Source organism: Homo sapiens, chromosome 9 (genome assembly GCF_000001405.40).
Source record: "Homo sapiens chromosome 9, GRCh38.p14 Primary Assembly".
Taxonomy (NCBI): Eukaryota; Metazoa; Chordata; class Mammalia; order Primates; family Hominidae; genus Homo; species Homo sapiens.
Genome location: NC_000009.12, coordinates 123590733 through 123614840, shown reverse-complemented (window position 1 = coordinate 123614840; position 24108 = coordinate 123590733). Strand labels below are relative to the sequence as shown.

The 24108-nt window shown below is 42.2% G+C and overlaps 1 protein-coding gene across 42 annotated transcripts in view, besides 2 other annotated features; it reads left to right on the top strand.

The window, feature by feature from the left end:
* The window catches only part of DENND1A (DENN domain containing 1A), a 550469-nt gene that overhangs the window by 315286 nt on the left and 211075 nt on the right, over positions 1–24108 (top strand). For all 42 annotated transcript variants that reach the window (XR_007061334.1, XR_007061335.1, NR_148208.2 and 39 more), the window contains one exon: positions 5360–5405. Coding sequence is in view for 39 of the 42 variants with exons in the window: in NM_001352965.2 (NP_001339894.1) it covers positions 5360–5405 (46 nt within the window). In the remaining 3 variants the exon portion in view is untranslated. The remainder of the gene's footprint in view (positions 1–5359; positions 5406–24108) is intronic.
* Positions 6332–6381: an enhancer, noted in NCBI's record as "active region_28944". NCBI's record gives its function as "activates an Ori minimal core promoter by ATAC-STARR-seq in GM12878 lymphoblastoid cells {active_cell/tissue: GM12878}" and the evidence as "EXISTENCE:reporter gene assay evidence [ECO:0000049][PMID:35858748]".
* Positions 6442–6571: an enhancer, noted in NCBI's record as "active region_28943". NCBI's record gives its function as "activates an Ori minimal core promoter by ATAC-STARR-seq in GM12878 lymphoblastoid cells {active_cell/tissue: GM12878}" and the evidence as "EXISTENCE:reporter gene assay evidence [ECO:0000049][PMID:35858748]".

Below are 24108 nucleotides of genomic sequence, written 5' to 3'. Positions count from 1 at the left end.
CTTTGCCTGATCAGGGTATTTAATTAAGAAGGTGGTGGCCCTCTGAGAGGTAAGGTGACACTGTGATGTGTATATTGTAACGTGGATACCTATGTGTAAACAGTGATCTTTCCAAATCCCTGGGCTGCCCTAAGCTGTGTTCCTTCATGATAGCAGAGGTGTTGCCCACCTGGAGGTGGAGGGACCGCCTCTCCCTTGTTTCCTCTCCCCTCCCACTTTGTCTTGGGAAGCTGTATTTTTTTTTTTTTTAAGCAGCCAGTGTTCCTTTATTTCACTGGACTCATTTCCAATTAGTAGCTGCTCACCTCAGGGGAACATGATTAACAGAGCCCTGGTTATCTGGGGGAAAGGAATTAAACAAATTGTGAAAGTGCGGTAATAATGAACAAGGACTACAGGATCGTTAGTAAGTCTGCAGTTTCCATATTCTTGCTTCTTCCTTGCTGGGAATAAGCTCATGCCATAGGACTTACCTGTCAGAGAAGCGCTCAGCATCACAGGCCTGGAACCAAGAGGACTGGCGAATAGCCCTTTTGGTACCCCAGCGCTCTTTTCCTTTCAGCTTAAGTACTGAGTATGTGCTGTGTGACCTCATGTGCAGAGCTTGGGCTGTCTGTTCAGCAGCCTTGCGTCTGAAGTACGGCTTCACCACTGACCAGCTGTGCGATCTTGGCAAATTTTATCTTTCTGAGCGTGTTTCCTAACCTGAAAATATGGATGATCGCACCACCTTGCAGAGTTCCCTTGAGCATTATGTGTGTAATGCATAAAGGTGACTGAATTATAGTAGCTCAATAAAAGTTCCTTTTCCTCTTAAGAGGATTCAAACTAAAGATATCTTCCAGGTAAAGGTTATTCTGTTGTGTCTGCCTCAACACCAGCAACAGAGCCCTTTTCCTTTTCAGGGGAGAAGGAAAAAAGAGTCACTTTTACTCTCACGTTTGTAACTGATGAAATCAGATAGTGCAGTAATTCCCAGAGAACAAAAGCTTCATACAGATATACCCCATTCTGCTATTCCAGGATGTACAATAGCATCCTACAATCACTGTCAGTCATACAGCAGTTGTGACATGGTTGTCATGACCTGCCTATGCATAAGTTTGGTTATAACTGTTAATATTATCACCACTTTAATTTAATTATGTGCATTGTTGGTTCTGCACATGTTGTTTAATTGCCGTTTAAAATGTCTTCAAAATTGCACTATGATTCAATATTGAAAGGTAAAGTCACTGTGAATGCTAAAAGGCTCTGGAGAAGAGAAGCAGAGTATATACATTTGCTATTACTGAAGCAGATATTTCCATTCATGTTTTCTAGAACAGCAACAAATAAGTTCTTTCTTGAACCTAAACAGGAAGATCACTTCTAGTAGATGGATTTTGGTTTGGTTTTGTAACTGAGATACCCTTGGAAAAACATGGACGTTTATGCCTCTGAATTAGAAAAGGATTCAGATGTGTTGGATTCTGAATATGAAGAAGTTTTTTTTTTTTAAATAGCTTACCCAATTTATTTTGCTGTTTTATTTTTAATGTATGCTCAAGAGTGATAAGAGGTTTTTAAAAATGTGTCCAAGTGATCAGAAAGTCATGAACCATTGTTTCATTGATAGTTTTTCCGTTATTGGTGGTACATTAGAAAGGAAAGGCACCCTCCTGACGAGAGTGATGAGCAACCCTCCTGAACTCAGTGGAGTATCCGGGAGACAAGAGTGTGCTTGGGAGTCAGAAATCCATGTGTAGAGATGGTGTGTGCCTGTCAAGCACCTCCCATTCCTCATGGCATCTTGACCATTCTTACCAGCAGTTTACCAGGTATCCTAGAGCGGGTATGCTACAGAACCAGGGCTGGAACAAGAAACCATTCTGTGGGTAATAGGAGAGTGGGTCCAATGGTGCCAGCCATGCCAGGGGCTCAGAGAAAACCCTACCATGTGCTGCTGCTGTGCCAGGTACGTCAGAGGTTGTCTCTAATCTCTACAACAATCCTGAAAGATTTCTACTAGGCCAGGTACTGCCTTATTGGAGAATGCTTTGCTAGGATATAACAAAAGATAAGAAACAGCCCTGTCCTTTAATTTTTAGTAATTCGGTGTCTAGGAATTCATGCAACATGAAGGTGTTCATTTTTATCACAGTGATACTTATAGAAAATTGGAAGCAACTTAATGTCTACTCTAGGGATAGCATTCGATAAATTATGATACATCCATATTTGGTGGAATATTATGCAGTCTTTAATAATCACAAAAATTATAGAACAATCTGGGAAATGTTCATGTAGCCAATGAGAAAATAAAACAATGTATGCACTTTATAATTTCAAAGATATAAAGCTGTTAATGTGAGCCAGTATTAGAAAGGAATGCAAAAGAAAAAGTAATTGTGTTAGGATAATATAATCATGGGTAGGTGTTTTTCTCCCCAAACATTTCTTTTAAAAATAAAAAGACAAAGAAGAGGTTCCAAGAAACTGAGTCAGTAGCTACAATAATTATTGAGATACAGTGAGAATAGAAATTGTTTTCAGACTGTACCTAGAATTACCCAATTGGATAAGTACCACATTGAGATGTTCAGGAAATTCTGGGTTTCTTTTTCTTCCCTCTCCCTCTCACCACTTGGAATTCGTAATTATATATTTGCAGAGCAAACATGCAGTAGATTCAGGGAAGTATCTGAGGCTTGATACGTAAATGATGACAATGTAAAAGGTATTTGTCCAAATTTGCATTCATACAAAACATGGAGCTGCTATGATTTCAGAATAAATGTGTTTTAAATATTTTCTAAATACAGAGCTGTTGCAGTTCTAACAATACTTGGCTAAGAAAACTACATTTCTGCGATAGGCCATAATTACTCTTTGGATAATTATTGGGCTTTAAAAAATGCCTATCTAAAGATACTTGAAGAATGAGTTCCATTTTGCCCTTTCTTGCCTCTTCAGTCTCTTCCATGAGGTCCCTTTTTCCTTTCAGGGTATCATTGATTTTTATTGTAGGACAAAAGGGTGTAGCATTAAAGTCTACATACATAAGATCCTATGGTTAAGTTATACAGAGGGGTTTTGCTATACATATTTATTTTCAACCGTTTGAATGTCTTTTTCTGTATATTAACTCATTTGTTGGAATTTCAGTTCTACAATTCTGGTTAAAACCCATGGTCACTGGTCAATTGCATGATTAAATGTAGGAGATGGGAAGGGTGATAAGATTTAGTTAAATATTATGGATTTGTGCTTTCTCCCTTCTATGTGTTAGGCTGTGCTTCTGGTCACATTAATAAGTGGCCATTTTTCTGGAATTTGTACTCTTCCTGCTTCCTTTCATTACATTAGGCAAGGTTCCACTAGATGAGACATTTGCAGTCTTAAGACTTCCTGCCAGGGTTCAGACTTTGTATTTTTGACATTGAAGCTGTCGTGTTCCTGAAGCTACTTAATTAGAAACACATTCATTTCAGTGTACACTGGAAAAAGCTTGGACAGCAGAGCCAGGCACACTGGGAAGTTTGAGCATTTGTGTAGCTGGCAGCTAAACTAATGGTTTACAGTTTAAGGGGAAAAAAAATATCACAGGGCATTTCCTTGCCCCTAGAAGCAAAGAGAAGCTGAATACACACAGCAGATACCTAAAAAAAAGAAGAAGAAGAAGAAGAAAAGACAACTCCACTTTCACTGCAATTGTGTGTATAGTTCTTTCTTTAGCTATTATCAAATACAAAAGTCTTCTAGAATAGTTAGCAAACTGAGCTGCTAATATTCAAGTCTGTTTTACATGTTCCCAAGACATATTATATTACTGCTGAGATCTGTAGTAAGGAGGACATTTTATATTCTGGGGAAAGAAAGGATTTTTGCTTGAATTTTATTTGTTGAATGGTAATGAGGGAATTGTGTCCTTTCTTATTTTTAAATGTTTGAGCAATTTAAAAATATACATGTGATGTTTAGAAACCTCCCTTGCCTATCCATTGCTTTCAGGATAAAGCCTAAACTCCTTAGTATTCAGTTGGAAGCAAACCTCTCCTGTCTCATTACTTACCACTCCTTGTTTCTCCAACTTTGTCCCCAAAGAGCCATTCTTGTCCATCCACCTCTACTCTACCAGCTGCCCCAGAAGAAAAGTACCTGTTCACCCCAGTCTGAGTCAGGTGTCTTTTCTCTAGGTTCACAAAATACCATCTGCACATTTCATAGACTATATCCCATACTACAGAGACAGATGGAAAAGTTGCCAATCACACCCTTCCTCGCTATCCCTTGACCTCCTTCCCCTAACCCAAAGGAAAGCATTGCATGGGGAGTGAGCTTGGGGATTTCAGGTTCTATATTACAAAGTCAGTGTGGCACAAAGGAAGAAATGCATACTTGGGAATCAAATCCCAGGTCTACCACTGACTTTGTTTTGTGGTATTAGGTAAGTGATTTAACTAACCTCTTTAGGCCTAGTCCCTTCTCTGTAAAATGGGTATTGTATCTATGGGTATTGCAAAGTTGTTATGTGGATTAGAATAGATGAATTTAAAGTTCCTCATATAATGTCTAGCACATTTGTTATTGGTAGGTAACATAAATGATAATGTATACACACACACACATACACACCGACCCCTGAAATCAACGGCAGGACCGGTGTATCCAAAATGCCCAGGTTTTAAACCCATTGGAGTTTAGTTCTCATGCCTTTGCTCAGTCACTGACTTAGGCAACCCGTGGCTCCGTGAATGAAGCAGTTGGCAGAGGCTTTCTGAATTATAGTGTCATGGGATGGCATGTGTGCAACTGGGGAGGAGATGCTTGCTGGCAGCTCTCCAAGTACTTTGTCCAATCAGAATGGACAGTTAGATCACATCTCTTGATGACAGAGGAAGCAGCAAATACAAAATATTCTTCTTTGAAACACATTATGCCCTTCATCCAACCTTAACTGCTTTTTCTGTTGTAATCATGGCAATAATCGTTCCCATCTGTATTAGAACTCTGCTGATCATTTAACGTATATTTTCTTTGATTCTAGTAACAACGTGCTGGCTGGAATCCAGGATTCCATTTTAAAGATAAGGCAACTGAGGCTGTGCAGTTGCAGAGCCGCTCTTTAGGGGCTAATATCAAGGTTGATGCTCTTCCTGCTACCCATGCTGTTTCCAATGCTGCCCACGTTTTGAAATTCTTCTGAAGTTTCTAGGCTTGGGAACAAAATGTCATATTAGGATTTTTGTTGTGAAAGGAAATGTAACTATGCATACGTTTATTAAAACAGTTTTTCTCCAAATAGTGAACCATCTGTAATTTTCTGTCAGAAGCAACAGACATTAAAGCAGCTGTGTGTCTCTGTTTCTCTTCACAGTGCTCCCATGCCCTACCTCATAGGAATCCATTTAAGTTTAATGGAGGTAAGTTGGCTTCTTTCCTCCCCAGATGGCTCTACCTGGGGCTTTGTTTCATTGTGTGGCGGTGGAGAGACCCAGTCTCAGCAGTCACAGCTCTGCACGTGGGAGCATGCTGAAGCAGCACCTCCCAGCGTACAGAGCTGAGCGTTCGGTTTGGACGCCGTGCACTGGGCTCTGTTTTCAGGGTTTTCCCACTTTGCCGAGAGACTGTGGATTTTCATGGGTTGAGGGAATGAGAGTCAAGGAGGCAGGAGGAAAGGGTTCTTTAAGGGTTTGAACGAGGGAAGGGAAATGATTTGCTTTTCAAAATGTTTGTTCTAATCGCTATAGCAATATTGCATTCTTCATTGTAGTAAATGTGATATAAAATGTATATAGAATCATGAAGAAGGAAATTAAAATTATGCACAATGCCATTATTCCAGATTGAACCATTGTTAGCATTTTACTAATCTCCCTCTTGGTCTTTAGTCTCTAAATATATGTTTTGTATAAATATGTATAATTGATATACTTTATAATTTTGTGTCTTTATTTTAATTAACATGGCTTGGGAATCTCTACATGTTTTTATCTACTCTCAGTAATAATTTTTAATTTGCCACCTATCATTCCCACTATTTGGATATACCACAACGTAACTGTTTTCCTACTGTTGGACACTGAGGTTGTTTATAATTTTTCACTATTATAAATAGCATTTCAGTGAACATCTTTATGCATAAGGCTTTATCTGCATTTTGCCTCATTTCCCTAGCATAGAACCCCTAAAGTAGAAATGCTTGGTCAAAGCTATGCATCGGATGCCAGATTGCTTTCTGTATGGCTGTACCAATTAGATAGCAATTCTTTTAAAGGACTTTTCTGTGCTTTTGTAAGTGTCATTAGTTTGTAGACATGTACCCTAAGCCCTTTCCTCCTCAGGAGAGAGTTTTAATTTGTACTAGAGCAAAATGAGGCGTGGGGAGGGTGCTTGCCTGTGTTGCACAGGAGATAAGCTCTCAGAGGGAAAATCTACAGCCATGTCCGTCTGCGGTGGTGCTTTGCATGTCTTGAAGGAAGTGCTACTTCTCTTCTTCTGTTCCCTTCATTTCACGTCGACGAGGACCACCTGCTTCACTAACTGTTGCACACTGTGCTATTGTGCTTACGAAAATGAAAGAAGTTGGTTATCGAAAAACCTGTTTGTTTGACATTGAGAATCTTGATCAAAATAGACCACAGAAATCTGCTCAAATTTCTAATTTGACAGGCCGGCCATGTGGCTCCTACATTCTGTTAACAGTTCCTCCTTGTCATCACCCAGCCCTAAGCACATACAGTACACAGTTTATGGACTATCTGGGATGATGTATTTAGATCAGATTGAAGAGATTTCTTCTGTGTTTTACCTTTGTTTGTCAAGTTTGGGGGTCTATTCAAAGCTCCCGTATGAAAAATTGAAATTCAAAGTAAATACTTACCAATGGACCGTTAGTGCCAATTGCTGTAGAGTTTGAAACACTAATATAACGACTATTTGGTCTATCGGAGTCCACAGTTCCCTCCCGCTTGCCTCTCCTCCTGCCTTCCAGACTGCTCCAGCACAGGCTTTTTCAGATTCCTTTTTATGTCCCAGCGCCTCAGCATTCTCCAAGTTTCTAGTTTTGTCTTTCTCTTCTTTTCTATGTGCCCTCTAGTCACCTTGTTTAAGGCCTCTTGCTTCAGCTACCAGGTCAATGTCAATGACTCAGCTGGGGTTCTAATGCTGGTCTGCCTCTCTCTGAGCTTCAGGTCCAAAGTTTAAAGTGCCAGTTGGATTTCACCTGGATGTACTACGGATGTCTCCCCCAGTCTTCCCCAAACAATTTATTGTCTGCACACACACACACACACACACACACACACACACTCTCTCTCTCTCTCTCTCTCTCTCTCTGTGTGTGTGTGTGTGTGTGTGTGTGTGTGTGTCTCTCTCTCTGTGTCTCTCTCTCTCTCTCTAAGCCACTCCACTCCCCTTCCACTGTTCCTGGTCCCTGTGAATGGCACTACTGCCTTCAATGGCACCTAAGTGGAACACACTGATCATGGCTGAATGCTCTTCTTCCTCATCCTCTCTAAATACTCACAAAGCTCCAAAACGTCTCTCGCCCTGTTCTTTCCTCACTGCCTTCATTGACACTTTGCTTTCTTGGATTCTTGCAAAAGCCTTATTCATTTGATAAACAACATGAGGGTCTCTTATGTTCCAAGCATTTTGCTAGGTCCTGGAGGTATGGAGATGAATATAAAGTTCAGTGCATAGTCACAACATTGCATGGGTTGCCCTCCAGCTGGTCACTTGATAACCATGGGCTACATAATACTTGAGGAGGAGCCTTCCAGCCTCCCCTACACAGTCCCTGGGTTCTGCACAGTCTCTCCACTACTGTCAAGCCTTCTGGCTGGTCACTGACCCATGTTAGCTTGTGCTCCTGCTGATCCCTAAACATATCCACATTCCCAACCCTCTGCATGCATCAGCCCTGCCCTTCTCCACCTCTTCCAAGAAGTCCTCCTGCTCTGTTTTCTTCTTTCACTTATGGTGCCTCTTGCTCTGAATAATAGCTGTTTGCTTCCTTGTTCCTCTCCATCATCCCCTGGAGCATGACTTCTTTGGGAACAAGGACTGTTCCCATTCACTGTGGTGTCCTCAGCACCTAACAGGATGCCACACAGGTGATATTCTCTGAGCAAATGCTTTGTGAAAAGAAGCGTTGAGTGAATGCTTGGAAAGCTGTAATTGGGAGCACATTTAGAAGCCCTCTAATAGGCATCACTGTTTTCAGGCAACCCAATGCCATAATTTTACTTACAGGTGCGGGAAGTGAATTTTTTACTTTTTATATAATTGTAAGTAATTTAAAATAAGGCCTTTTGTAGTAAAACATGCAGTGTAAAATATGCGTACATTTTGCAGCTGAAACTTGAGACAGAGTTTTGCACTTACATGAATGGGTGCAGGTCTCTTCTGCTCAGCCTTTGAAGGGCGTTAAGGGAGAAGGCTTAGGAAGCACTGGCCCAGATAGATCTTAGCCCTGCTGATTGACGGAGGCTGGGGAGGAGTTTGCTGTGCTGAACTCCTGTGTAGTCAGCACAAAAATAAAAACAAAAATGGGAGTTGTCCCACTCTTGAAACCAGCCAAGACACTTTATGAACAAAGAAGTGTTTCCTGAGTGTGTAGGGCAGCCGTGAACTACTGAATCTTAGAATTCAGTCTCCTGACCTCCTCCCTGGAATTTCAGCTCAGATTCCGAGTGCTCTAGTTGTGCTTTCTGATGGGGCTTATCTAGTTCGATTGTACCCTTCAGGTGAAAGGGATACTCCTTCTGCGGTTTCTTGCAGGAACCTGTAGCTCAGACCTGGGGCCAAAGGAAAGCCGTTTACGGAAGGTGCTCAGGAAGGCCCATCTCCTCTCGCTACACTAGTTTTCTTACTGGCAATTCAGCAAAAGGCTTATTTTTGACTGTCTTGTTATTTTTTCTTGAAAGCTATAGGCACCTTATTATGCCTTTGCATATGTGCCAGAATTTTTTAAACTTCAAATGAATGTGGCAGATGTTCATAAAAGTTTAGAAAAAGCTACCATAGGAAGACTTTTTAACCATTTTTATGACACTCAAATTTGTTGCACAAAAAGAAATATAAATTACAAACTTGCATTGTTATTTTTAAAAAGGTTATTTTGGGGAAAGACCTAATTCTGGTTCATGCTCTTACAGGATGCCATTAAATGATAACCTAGTCACCTTACAGAGTCCGCCTTCCTCCCAAAGTGACAAGTGTATACCTGATCGCCATTCTTCTCTCTCCTTCTGCCTGTTTATAGTTTCTCTCTCATTTAAGCAATCTGAGGCTAGTGGCATGTTAGCAGAATAGCCAAGGGTATTGGCATAGACCTAGTTTCTTCTTGGAGAGAATGATCATGCTAGCTGGCAGCTAGGAAATCCCAAAACACGGCCAGATTCCACAGTGACTGTCCTTTCATTCAAGCGATCTCAATTTAGCTCAAGAGACATTTATGCAGCCCCTCTTCTGTGCCATCTCTGGTAGCAGGTGCCAGGTCATGTCTGGTCGATGGTGCTTCTCCTGTTTGATAAATGAAGACCTTCCTCCTCAAGCCTCACAAACAATGCTTTGTGTACAGACCTCAGAGTGACATGAGGGATGCATCCAGAAGGTATTTTCTATCCTTCTTGGTGGTGGGATGGTCAGGAAGGAGAAGGGAAAGGTGACAGCAATGACAGTTCCAGACAGAGGATCCGGTGGCTTGTAAATGAAGTTCCACCCATACACAGGGGCAGTGAAGTAGAGCAGTTAGAATGTGACACCTCTACTTCCTGCTTACTTGATCGTGGGCAAGGTAATTGACCTCTGAGTCTCTATTTTCTCACCTGTAAACTGAGGATAATGGCTGTGTCTCCCTTATGGGATCACTGGGAGGATCCAGTGAGATAATGCCTATCAGATGCCCAGCACAGTTCCTGCACATAAAGAGCTCAACAAAGGTCAGCAATCCTTGCTGGTTTTACTTCTTTAGTGGCCTTCAAGCCGTTTCCATTGTTAAGCTGATGGCTTTGAAACTGTGTTTTAGGAGCTCTTGGGTTCCCAGGATCATCATCCTCATGTCCTAGGGAAAGACAGTTTCAACACAATTGGTTTGTGCCTGCCTCGTTTTCTCCTGGTCTGCAATGCAGAGGCACGGTACCAGGCTTGGGAGTGACACTTCTGTAGAATTTGACAAATGTACTTCCAAACCCCTGCTTGACCACTTCCCTGCTGTGCTAACTCCAGCCATGATACTACATCTTTCTGTATCTTGCTTTCTTCCTAAGAGCTGAGTCCTGTATATGGACAGCATATCCCAGTGTCTGGCATGTGGTGGGGACACAATATACATTCCTTTCTGCAACAGAGTTTTGAGAGCTTTCTGTGTACGGGGCACCATGTTTATACTAGGGGCTCTGTATAAAAATGGCAAATGTGATATAATATCCACCTTCACAGGATTGTGTGTAGACCAGATGCAGAAAAATATAAAGTAATTGTAGTGAATTTGGGATGCTGTAGGCTCTGGGAGGAGAGATGCTGACCCTAGCCTTGAGAATAATGCTTCTCAGAGGAAGAGAATGCCCACACTGAAACCTAGTAGATAAATAGAAGAATTAGATAAACCAGGGAGCAGAGAGCAGCATCTGCAAAGACTTAGGTGTAGGCAAAGGGGGCTTTCCAGGAGATATGAGTAGTTCAGCCTCCGATAGGAGCATGAGCTGAGGTAAGCAGGCCAGGCCCAGCCCATCCAGGGCCTTGGAGGCTGCAGTAAAGAGTTTGAACTTTATAGGGCAATGGAGAGCCATTGAAGGGTGTAAATAGAGGAGGGACATGGTCAGGCCTTCTCCTTCTGGGCCATTAGAAACACAGTCCTTCCGTATAAAATGCTTGGAAACCACTTAACCATGTTAATAAAGTAAATTGATATTTGCAAAGATCAAGGTAATTCTTTAGGAAATTACACATCAAAAACATGTACATAAAATTCAGATGGGTCAGTGTCCCAAACCTGAGCTTCTTTGCTACCAAGCTGTGACAGAGGTGTTTGTAGTGATGGCTTTCTTCGAAGTATTAGCACCACTTTTACTAGATTGTGTCTTTTCTTCTATGTTTTCAAGTACTTTTTATGAATTAGTTACTTTTTCTACACCTCAGTTTAAGGGTATGAATGTATTTTATGTACTATGTGGTAGTTCAAGGCAGTAGGTGCAGGGGGAGTGAGACCCAGGGACCAGTTGGGGGGCCCCCAGCTGCTTCTCCCCTCTAATGCAGTTTCAAGAGGCGTGTGATGGGTGCATGGGGAGCTCCTGGCATTCTGCTGCTTTCACCATCTTTTACCTAGGAATGCTTAGCCATGGGTCCCTAGAAGCCTGGTTTTTCAAACATACAAGTGCTTAAAACAGCACTGAGCCGCCATTCAGAGGACAGCATCCAGGTGCCAAATCAAAGCTCATCTTGGTCTCGGGATCCAGAGGCCACATTTGTCTATGTCTACAACAAGGTTCCCAATTTAACTATGGAGCTTTTACACAAAATAATATAGGATTCATTTATTTACAGGCAAGGGGAAAGTAATGGGATTTTTTTTCCTTTGCATTTCAAAGAACTGGAATTTCTGTCAATTGAGTTGGCACTATTTTAACTAGTTTTTTCTTTTCATTTTTCCCCTGGCATAGAAAGTCTTTCATGCTTTGTTCCTTTCTCTTTTTTTGATATTTATTTTTTAACAGAGTAAAGAAGAGTGTTTCTTGTTTACCATTGTACCATTTTGCTTCTTTGTATGACTCCACATGTAGACAGAAGTAAGATGTAGTTCACATTTGTTAATGCTGCAATTGATGCAAAATTCTGAGCCATAGTTACATCCAGGTATAAATGGTGACTTGTATATGTGTCCTCACAAGAACAGAGATGTTCCATGTGACATTTATTAGTGCCAAGTGATCCTATTCTTGCTTTATTAAAAAACAGCCTGGGCAACACAGTGAGACCTCATCTCTACGTAAAATTAAAAACAACAACAACAACAAAACTAGCCAGGTGTGGTGACACACAGCTATAGTTCCAGCTACTCAGAAGGCTGAGGCAAGAGGATCACTCAAGCCAAGCCCAGGAGTTCGAGGCTGCAGTGAGCCATAATTGTGCCACCGCACTCCAGCCTGGGTGACAAAGACCCTGTCTCAAAATAAAATGAAATAAAAAGTGATATTTGCATGAAAAATCTCACCTGATAGTTTCATTCATAGGCTCATGGCAAGAAAGGGAAAGGGTTGGAGGAGACTTTAACATCTTTTGAGTACTTGCCAACCACTGTGCTGAGGACTTGACCTGTTTTCATGTTTGAGCGTTCCTCAGACACTCTCTGCGAAGTAGGAGATATTCACACTTGCAGATAGGGAAGCTGAGGCTCTGAGAGGTAACATACAATTGGCGCTCTGCATCCACAGGTTCCATGTCCACAGATTCATCCAACCACAGATCAAAAATATTTGGAAAAAAATATATGAAAGAATATAAATTAAAAAGCCAATATGGTATTGGCTATTTTTGTATAATATTTGTATAATTGTTGTATAATAGTTGTTATATACAGTATCACAACTATTTAACATTTACATTGTATTAGGTATTGTAAGTAATCTAGAGACAATTTAAAGCATACAGGAGTATGTGCATTGGTTATATGCAAACATTATACCCTTTGGTATCAGAGACTTGAGCATCTGCAGATGTTGGTATTCACAGGGGCCCTGGAACCAATCCCCCTCAGATACTGAGAGACGACTGTAATTTGTACCCAGGCCTTCAGCTGCAAGGGGTTTATCAGAGCCTCTGATCTGCGTACCCTCCCATCAGGCCATGTGGATTATGCCTGTGCCATCCCAGTCCTGGGCAGAGTCCCCACCTGTCCTGGGCTCTTCCTTCTCAGTGCTGTGTGCTGGGGATTGTGGTGAGGAGGGGAAAGGAGGGCTTACAGCTGGTGGCCCCATATTCCTCCAGAGACAAGCTCTGAGTATACTTTGACTGGGACCTGGTTAACTTATCTGGTCCACTCTTACCTGGTCCACTCTTATCTGTAAAATTAAATTGATATTATCCACATAAAAGACTTGTGAGAATTAACTGATATAGTTTATTCAATTAAATCAAATATGAAGAGCTTTTTAAAAATACTATGCCAAACATTCATTTTCCTAGTTAGTAGTATAAAAATAAGAGGCAAAGTTTATATCAGTGAAACCCTGGGTGGAGATTGCTTTATTTTGTAAAGAAAAAGGTAATTGAACGGTGGCTTGGTCCTGGAATTTCCTTAGCATGCTATGTGTTCTCATGCACAGTCATCACTTATGAGTCTCGTACCATCCAGAAGCTTCCTACTGCAAACGCAGCAGGCTCTGCTCACCTTAGGCCTCGAGGAAGGCCCTGGATTGAGTGGATAGATTTCCCTTAGAAGCTGTCTCCTCTTCACAGTAAGCATTTGCTTTTAAAATGAATATGAATCTCAAATGCCACTTATCCTAATGTTGGAATTAGTTAATATAAAACAATTTAAAGCTCTAGCAGTAATTTATGTAATCAAAGGGAACAAGTACTTCTGGCTGAGTTAAGTATCTCTTGCAGTCAGTACGTTTTCAGTCTAACTAGTCATGATGGAAATATTCTCACGTGAGATGGAATAGCCCTCTGTTACAGATGAGAAAAACTCAGTAATGATGAGGAGAATCCCAGTAAAAAAATGTGAAACCATCATTGATGCTTTTGTTTTCGTATTTTCCTATCATCATTTATGTCATTATATATAGGTTGCATTTAGCAATGTTAAAACTGGCTTCAGAGAAAACTTAAAAGTTTATAAATTGTTACCAAGAGAAGCCTGAATGAGTCAAATTCCTGCCAGATTGAGGTAAGGAGCAGTGGGCAGTGAGCAGGGGGACTGTGTAACAGAGAGCTCGTGGGCACTGGAGTCATATGGACCTGAGTTCATATTCTAGTTTCACCACTACTAGATCACTTTAAACAAGCACCTTTTTTTTTTTTATGATGGAGTCTTGCTTTGTTGCCCAGGCTAGAGTGCAGTGGTGCCATCTCAGCTCACTGCATCCTCCGCCTCCTGGGTTCAAGCGATTCTCCTGCCTCAGCGTCCCAAGTAGCTGGGACTACAGGTGTGCACCACCACACCCGGCCTAAGCAAACTCCTTTGTTTAAATCAGAAATCAGTTTCTCAGAGGAAAAGGGTATGGTTACTACATCACACAGTTTGACCACTTTGCACAAAACTATTCTTTTGCTATCCTCTTAAAAGATTCCTGCTGGAAATACCTATACATAATAATCTTGACCATTGAATGAGGGTCTACTAATGTGCATGCCACTTTGGCCGTGTAATTTCTAATTGCCACCACTCTGAGAGAGGTGCCCCTGTTTTGCAGATGGGTACGTTAAGGTGCCTCTTTGAGCCCCAGACTCCTCACTGGTAAAATAGGTAGTTGCCCCATTTCATAGGAGTTTTCAATGAGGAGTAAATAAGAAGGTACATGAAAACACTCAGATTGGTGTCTGACACATGGTGAGTGCCAAATAAATGGAAGTGATTATCAATATTATTTAGGTGTAGAATTGATATCCTTCCCTTACAAAGAAACTAAAAGACTTATCTACCTAAGATTGACTCTGCCCTCCTTTTTCAACCTGTTTTTATTTTTCTAATGAGTGACTTTTTCTAAACTGACATTAACTTAAACTTACTTTTTAACTGAGCCCGGCCACGTGAGACTGTTGACTTCATAAACTCCTTGCAAGTGATTAGGGGCGGGGCCATTGTGGGAGCTCAGAGACCAGCAGTGTGATGATTGAAGAGCCGTACCCTTGGCCTAGACAAATCCCACTTGAAATCTGGGCGCATGTGGTTTTGTTTAACACCATGCTCAGCCGACTCATGGTATGGGTTTGTGACCATCAGGCATTTGTTGTTGATATGTGAGGTCACCACAGTAGGGGTGTTTGTCAACCAAATTAAACTTCCTCTTAATGACCTAAAATAATTGATTTGGAAGGCCGTTAAATGGGCCAGGGCAATGTGTAAGCAAGCCGAAATCCGGCATTTTCTGCACAAATTAATGCATGTTCTTGTTCTGTTTGTTCGTGTTTTGCTTTTGTTGGGGAAAATGTGGCTGGACCATGGGCTTTTTGAGCAGTCAGTGAACCTGAGTTTGAATCCCAGCTCTGCCATTTATCTATCTGTAATTTGGGCAAGTCGCTGAGCTTCTGTGGGTGTGTGCCTTAATATCCCCATCAGCAAAATGAGGACACCTGCCATAAAGTGATGACAATTAGAAATAATATGACCGAAGTGCCATGAACATTACTAGGCCATCACCCTCTGGTAGCTATTATTATGAATAAAATATTTCCAATAGGCATCTCTAGAAGATAGCTCAACAGTCGTTTTGTACAAAGAGGTCAAACTGTGATGTAGTAACCATGCCTTTTTTCCCCCCTGCTAAACTAATTTCTCCACACACTACTCTCTGTACTAAAGTTAAACATCCAGAGAGAAAAGTGTGTTTAAAAATGGAGTCTATAGATCTCTCTTTACATATTGTTTGATTCTCAGCTGATTTCAAGATGAAATTAAAGTTGGACACTTAAGAGATATGCCGTTTAGGCTACAAAAGAAGTAGGTTTTTTCTTTGGCTATTGGATTCAAACATTTATGATCTAAGTTCAGGCCTTTGCAGGTAAAGCTTGGGACCACCATTCTATGTTTGTTTAGAAACAAAGGCATTGACTGGGGGCTTTTCTGAAGTATGATGAACAGTGGCACTGAAGTTTTGTTTTGTGGTTGGAAGTTATCAACATCCCTGAGAGTGGTTTATGTGTCTTGCCTAAAATCCTTCCCTCCATAAACCCAAATATTGACAAAAGCTAAAAGGTGCAGATTGGAGCTGTGCCTAGACTCCTGGACACTTCCTTAGCCAAATATAATGTCTGCTAAACCTTGGTGCCTAGGAGTCCGTTGTTTCCAAAGATCCAGTGGTAATAAATTTATATCCTCCCTCTTCAGCATTTAACTGCAAATATTTTGTACTGACCGAATGGGTTAAATTATGAAGCTTGATAAGTACATATGCACACTACCCATCCCTAGCTTTAGAAGAAGGGGGAAAAAAAAGAAAGAAAAAGATAGCTATGATTTTTGGATGTCATCCCAATTTTTAAAAATAAGAGAATTTGGACATTTTGGCATATGGGGTTTTTTAAATGAAATTTCATGGAACTGAAAACAGTCAATTTTAGGTTTCCAAAAATTGTTTAGATTTTCGCTGGTATAAATTTGCTGCACATGGTTTTGGGGAAGTTCTGAGAGATGCATTTGGGACTTTGGGGTTGGTTTTTTTTTTTTTTTTTTTTTGAGATTTGTGATTGAGTTTTAAAAGGTGATTTTCCCCCCTCCCCCAACCTCAAAGTGTAAATCAGGGGAGATCAGAGTTCCATTTTCTAAGGACACTTTTGGGTAATGACATCATTATGCACTGCTGCACAACTGGACTTGGGGCTGAGTTATTGAGCCTTGTTTCAGCACCATTTGGACACTGCACAGTATATTCCCCTTCCCTGCCTCGGAGTGATTTTGGCCGTGCCATTAGCAGCAGCTGCTGGTGATAAGCACCGGGAGAGTCACCTGTGTAGGGTCAGGCTTATTGCACATCAAGGTTTGGCAGTGTCAGAAGAGAGGGAAGATGCCCAGGAGGGGGCTCCAGGCCACCTGCCGAGTGAAGATCAAAGGGTTGAAAGGTCAGAGGGCTCAGCTCCCTTAACTGTATCTGTCTGTGCAATAGCTATTTCAGATTGTAAATCTTGGCGATTTCATTAAGTCCTCCTGGCTGCTACTGGGGCATTGAAATAATAAAATTTTATATCTATTGCCTTTCCTGCCTCTGGCAGCCAGGCTGATACGTTGTCTGCAAGATGGGGTCGTCTTTATGAAAACCTTCCCTGGAATGATCTGAGTAGCATTAATGAAGCCTCAGATTGGGAAGTTGGGGTTCATAGGACGTCATCCTCAGCAGGAGGGAGGGGGTTTATAAATAAAGAAGACCCACACAAACCATTTAGCAGCCTTTTAGATTTGTGTAGCACCTCTCTTCTGAAAAGCAGGTCAGCAAAATATTACCTATTGCTAAATGTTTAATCTTAGGAGGAGGGGTGCACTTTCTCACTGCTGCTGCTTATTAAATAGCCCCTGTTCTAATGACCCTAGGGCCCATCCTTTTGAATAACCCCAAGAGCAGCTATACAGGTCTCACTTCTCACTCTGCAGACCTTTTGGGTGCTTTTAGAGACATGTCTCCTGAATATGATTTTCCAAGTATTTTTCCTAGATCTTAAAGTTGTTAAGGACTGTGAGGGCTCCTAGGCTCGTGGGTAGGACAAATCAAAGTAATAGCTGCCCCTTTACTGCCCATATGTTTAAGACCCCCTGTAGTTTGTTTGAAAAGTTAAGAGATTTTCACAGTGAAGGTGCCATTTCTGAAATTTAAAGTGTTCCTTTTCACCGCAAGATAAGTTCACTCTGATTAAGTCCGTAATTCTCACTAAGCCATGTTTATGGGGGCAATAAACAATGTTTCAGCGTGCTTGTTAAATTGGGTTTCCAACCTCTCCACTCTTTAAAAATTGACATTTCAAATAAAAGGCAGGTGGAGATGGGAGTCGGGCTTTGCAGTGCTTAGTGATGAATGAATGATGGCAAGTGGCAGTTGTGTGGGAGGAATGAGGTCCTATTTTATGATAGGGTGACCCCAAACCATTTGGGGACTAGGGAATCAACATCCCCCACACTCCCAGTGAAACTCTTAAATTCAAGTTCTATTGTTTCACTTTGGATGGATGCTATTTTGAACTACTGCCAGACACGTTATGCTCATTATTTAATTTTCATAATGCATCTGTGCTCTGGTAGTGGGGCCCCTATTTTACAGATGATGAAATATAGGCACAGAGAGGTTAAGTAACTTGTCCAAAGTCACACACATAATTAGGAGGAGCAGGATTCAAACACAGTTATTTCATTGCATGAAGCAGTTTAGTGTGTACAAAAGAAAACTATTATACTGGCCCTACTTTTAGGGCTTGCTTGCCACTGTGTTTCAGCACTCTGGTAAGTCTATACATGGAGGTCACAAGAGACGTGTGGAAGTGGCCACTGTCCTCAGTATTTGCTTAGCACCAGCTCTGTGCCTGGAAAGTGGAGGAGGCTGCACAGCGAGGAGAAAGGCACCAGGCTTTGGGGTCAAATCCCAAGCTCAAATCTTAACTCTGATACTCTATGATCTGGGGCAAATTACTGTACCTCTTGGAGCTTCAGGTTGTTCTTCTGTAAAATGTGAATAATAAAGCTCATTTCAAGAGGTTGCTTTGAGGATATTTTAAAATAATACATTCTAAAATATAGGTAAATATAAAATATGGTATGTTCAAAAATTCAACACTGCTTTACAGGTACCAGTGGTAAACATTACCACAGTGTATGTGAATAGCGTAAGGTTTAAAGCAGTTATTTTAAGGGGAAAGTGATAGCGCACAGGAAACATCACTAAACAAGTTTTAACTGCAGGCCAAAGAATCTGTTGTTCACTGTGCTTGGCATGGGGTTTAGAGATGACAACCTGAGGCGGGGATAGGAGTAGTCAGGAGGGTTTTCTAGAAGAGCAGGATCTGCTGGGTGGCAGTAACGTGGCGAGCTATCTCTGGGCCATGCTTCTCATCTTATGGAGTGCTCTGCCATATCATCGCATGTTTGTGCTTTGCAGCTGTGGGGAAAGGTGTTGACACCTTTCTTGTCCTCTTTTTACACATGAGGAAACTGAGTCTGCAGCAGTGGGAAGCCTGCTTCAGTTTGAGACAAAACACCAGCAGAGTCAGAGTGTGAGTAGGCTCCCCACTCCGTTCTGGATGGCAGAGTGGAGGCCAGGCTGGATGGAGGTTCTGTGTTGGGGTGGATTTCTAGAGTGGATTGCTAGGAGGACTGGCAGAACCCAGCTCCCAGAGGGGGGCCAGCTGGCACTGACCGAGCGTCTGCTTGATGGTGGACTCTGTATGAAACATGTGTTCCCAGTGTCTCCCCCAATCTTTTCAACAACCCTGAAGGTAAGGAGCATGACCTCGGCTCACAGCAAGGGAAACTGGTGCTAGAGAAGGCTGAGTGCCTTGCCTGAAGCTGCCTAGCTGGTAAGTGAAAAGGCCAGGACCCCAGCCTGGAGACTTTCTGGCCCTGGGCCCAGGACCATGTCGGGGAGAGAATGGGGCTGGTGGGTGAGTGGGAATGGTCCACTGGTCTGCTGCATACTACTGTGCCCTTTCTCAGATCTACCCACAGCCCATCCACAAGGAGAGGCGGGGAGCCCCTTGAGTTCAGAGATCATGGTTTAATCGTCTCTGTGTCCCTAAGACCTAGCGTAAAGTTGACATGAATGACGGCTCCATACGTGATGTACCAAATGAGTGAGTGAATGAACACCCAGTGGATCGATGGCCAGGAAAGGGGCCATTAGAGGAAGAGCCCCTTTGCTGACCTGGCTTGAGAATCCCTGGACTTGTTAATGAGAGTCAGTGCCTGTTACCTTGTGAGGGGTGGATTTGGCCTGACCTGGGAGGTGCTTACACCACTTCCCTCCTCTGCCAAGCTTCTGTTTCTGTTTAAAGCACACTGGGAAATTCCAGCGGTGTTTTCAGGGCTCCTCTGAACTGTCAGGCTTAGATTTTTAATTTTGTGGAGCAGGAAGGAGCAAATCAGCGACTCTTGGCTCCAAAGAAAAGCCACTGCGTTCATCAACTGCTTGGCAGCTTGGTGACCTTTGGGGCCTGAGGAAGGGAAGGAAAATGTCACTCTTCCCTCTTTGTGTATCTGAGATTTCAGGAGGAAATAAAGAGTTTAGAATACCTGAATGTTTGCCTTTCCTTTCCTGTCCTATCCACTTTCCCTCTTATTTCTCTTTCCTTTCCTCCTAGGAGGCCACCAGCTTCCCATGCTGTTCTTTGTTATGTACTCATATATATGCACATGCATTTGGGCACATTTTGTGCATGCTGTGTAGTGGAAGGAACACTGGCTCATGGAACCCAGATTCAAATCCTTTCTCTGATGCATCCAGTTGTAAGAACACGGGCAAATTATTTAATCTCTAGCATTGTTTCCTCATCCATCAAATGGGTATGATTCTGTAGGAAAGTCTCCCCTCCCTGGGAATTTTAGTGGAGTCTGGGTCAGGCATCAAAATACTTAAGGGCTTGATTAATCTGGTATGCCTAACAAAGGTCCGTTATATTAGTTGCTCAGTATGTTTGTTGATTGAAACAATGTGTCAGAGCAAATAATGCCATGCCTTGGGTAGAATAAAGGTATTGCTGTTCATCTCAATGCCTACAGCCAGTGTTTCTTAGCCATGTGATTTCCGACGAGTTATTTTACCTCTCTGACCCTCAGTTTCCATCTCTCTCCACAGGGACTTCATGGGAATTACATTAAATGATACTTGTAAGGAGTTGGGCTGTGGGAGAAACACAACAGCTAGTGGCTGTAATTTTGTTGTTGTGTGTGTCAGTAAGATGATGGATGCAGAGCATGTCACACAGTTCCTGATACACACAGGCCTCTGTAACATTGGCTGTGGCTTGGACTGATACGTAGCCATAGGAGTGCAGTTGGAGAAGAGAGGCATGTATTAGTCCATTCTCACACGACTATAAAGAACTACTTGAGACTGGGCAATTTATAAAGAGGTTTAATTGGCTCAGGGTTCTGCAGGCTGTACAGGAAGCATGGCTGGGGAGGCCCCAGGAAACTTGCAATCATGGTAGAAGGCGATGGGGGAAGCTGGCACATCCCACATGGCCAGCAGGAGAAAGAGAGAGAGAGGGGAATGCTACACACTTTCAAACAACCAGATCTTGGGAGAACTCACTCACCATCACAAGAACAGCAAGGGGGAAATTAGCCCCCACGATCCAGTCACCTCCCACCAGGCCCCTCCTCCAACACTGGGAATTACAAGAGGGCGTGAGATCTGGGTGGGAACACAGAGCCACACTGTATCAAGGCACCTGCTTGGAACCCAGCAACAGTCATTTAGAATAAAATTTTGATTAACAAGCTACTAAGATGTAATTTTTGGTTTAATTTTAGCCATATTCTCTCCCTTTAAAAAAAAGAAAAAGAAAAGCTCCCAAGAAGTCATACTTACAGGGGACATATAGTATAATGTCAGGAGCCACATCAAGTGTGCCCCTCTCACAGAGGGATCAACTTAGACTTAGTTTGAACAAATGCAAAGCATGTTGTGGGCATGATAATAACACATGACACTGTGCCCTCTCAGAGCAAAGTGTCTTTGCAGGAAGCCAGCCTAGACCCTTCCCCTTTGCTTGGAGGTCCCATTACTGCTCTCAGAGGTGCTGCCTTGGGTGCTGTCTTGGCCATGAGAGTAGATGATGCTTACTGGCTTTAGGCGTCACCCAGAAGAGAATTTTTTACTTAATCCTCTCACAACCCTATGTAACAAGTTGTTATAGACCCATTTTATGGATAAAGAAATTGAGGTTCAGCTAGGATTAAATCATTTACCCTTGGTCCTGTAACTAGGAATTGAGGAAGATAAAATCCCAAGCCCAATCTACCTGACTCCTGCTCCTCCTCAGGACTGCAAAGACGTCTCAGAAGGACCCCAACAATGTTGCAGCTTTGCCCTTCCCTGGAGGGAGGCAGTGCAGACTGAGAAGCAGTGTGTGTCCTGGAGCTGTCTGCCTTCACAAACACATTTTCTAACAGTGAAATAGAATCTCAATTGAGTCACTTCTATTATAGAATTATTGCTATCTTGATTTTTTATAATAATAACTAATACCTAGTGCTTCTGATACACCAGACACTATCCTAGGTATTACACATATATTAACTCATTTAATTGCCAAAATAACCTGGTGAAGTCCGTATTTTTTTGTGTGTGTGGTAAACATTTTCTTGAAGTGTGAGGGAAAGATGCACCCATCCTAAATGTACAGTTAAAGCTGGGCACAGTGGCATGCACCTGGAGTGCCAGCTGCTCAGGAGGCTGAGGCGGGAGGATCACTTGAGCCCAGGAGTTCAAGTCCAGCCTGGACAACACAGCAAGACCTCATCTCTCAAAATAAAATAAAATAAATCCAAACCAACACAGAAACCCACTAAATGTACAGCTAGCTGAGTTTTTACAAGGTGGACATATACATGTAACCACCACCCAGATATTGAAACAAAATATTACCAGCCCCCCAGAAACTCCTCTTGTACCCTATTCTAGTCAGTTTCCCCCCAGCCCAAGGATGACCACTGTCCTGGATGTCAGTGCTGTTTTTATCTCATTATACAGATAGGGAAACTGAGGCACAGGAAGTCTAAATAATTTGCCCAAGGTAGCACAGTTTTAATTGGCAGAGTTAGGATTCAGACTCAGGCAGTCTGGCTCCAGAGAATGCACTTTTATATGAGACATAGCCAAGAAAAGAACAATCGCTTGGTGGTAGTTTAATTTTTAATAGCATGAGAGTATAATAATAGAGACTTATTCGCATTTTCCTTTGTTCTGAAAATCAGCTGTTTAATTCCTTAGTCTTAGAACTCTAATCCATTTTATTGACATAACTTGCAAATTGCAAGGATAGAAACTTGCCTTTAATAGCCCCACATTTATTGATCACTAATTGCAATCAGACATTGTGTTAAAATCTTCATACCTAGTATCTCACTAAATCCTCGCAACACAGCTGTGCAGTATTATCCCTATTTTATTGATAAGAACACTGAGGCTCAGAAGTAAAGAACTTGCTGATGTTTACACAGTACAGAAGCAGGGCTTGAATCTGGCTGTCTTGTTCCAGACCCACAGTCTTAATCGCTGTGTTAACTCCTATCTGGCTTTCTGTGTCCACTGTGAATTAATTCTACACTAATTAATCATGCTAATTTTACATGATTGTTATCATTGCCATCGTTATTATTATTATTCCCATTGCACTTCCTTGAGCAAACTCCGATTTGCTTTCGTTGAGCTGACATTGTCCATTCGGGCTTACATTGACATCTGCTGCCAGGCAGACCTCCCAGTAGAGTGGATCTAGCCACAGTCGTTTCTCATTCCCCAGTTAATGAGCACTTGCCTTGTGTCAGGCACTGTGCTGGACACTGGAGACAAATAAGACACAGCTCTGCCCTGGAGATGGTCCTGGTCTGAGGACAGCAGAAAAGATTCACTCAGTGCTGGCCTGTTTACTCTATGCATGTCACCTCCCTGAACCACACAACCTCCATCCTAGAGAGGGTGTCCTGTCTTGCTGCACAGCTGTTGGACGAGCAGAGGCAGAACTGAGCCCCTGCTCCTCAATGTCCAGCCCCACGCTCCCAACCCGGCTGAGTGCTGCATGCTCCTGGCCACTCTTCAGATCCCCCGGCTGACATTGCCAGTGCACACCCTTGCCTTTCATCTTGTGGCTTGCTTTTAAGTACTACCTTTTGTCACTAGCTGCCCAATTCCCTCCTTGGACAGGTAGGACACTCCCCCGCACCAATCTGTGTGGGCAGCTGGTGTGGTTTTAATTAGTGTAGCTGATATTATTTTATATTTTAGGGAGGAAATCCCATTGTTTTCATACAACCAACTCTAGAAAGTAAGGCTCAATACCATCTTGGCTACAGAAAAGACACCAAAGATAGAGTGTTTATCAAACAGACCCCCTCCTTTGTATAGGGAAGTCTATCAGAATCTCTAGGGACATTGGCTTTTTATATTTATCCTAAGAGGGCTTGAATTGAAAAAGTTAAAAATCCTGGACTAGATGAAAAAGTTAGGGGACAGGGAGCCAAACACAGCCACAGATCAGAATGTACACTGGGTGGTGGCCCTGGGGAGAGTCACCTTGTAGCGTGGCATTCATTCACCATTGTTCGCACACTCTTACCTTGTATGGTTGGCTATGATTTTATTCTGTGTTCTGGAGAGAGTGCTAATATGTTTATCAACTTCATTGAGGTATAACTGATCACAACCCATCCACTTAAAGTATATGGTTCAATGAATACCTTCATTGGGGTATATTTATCAC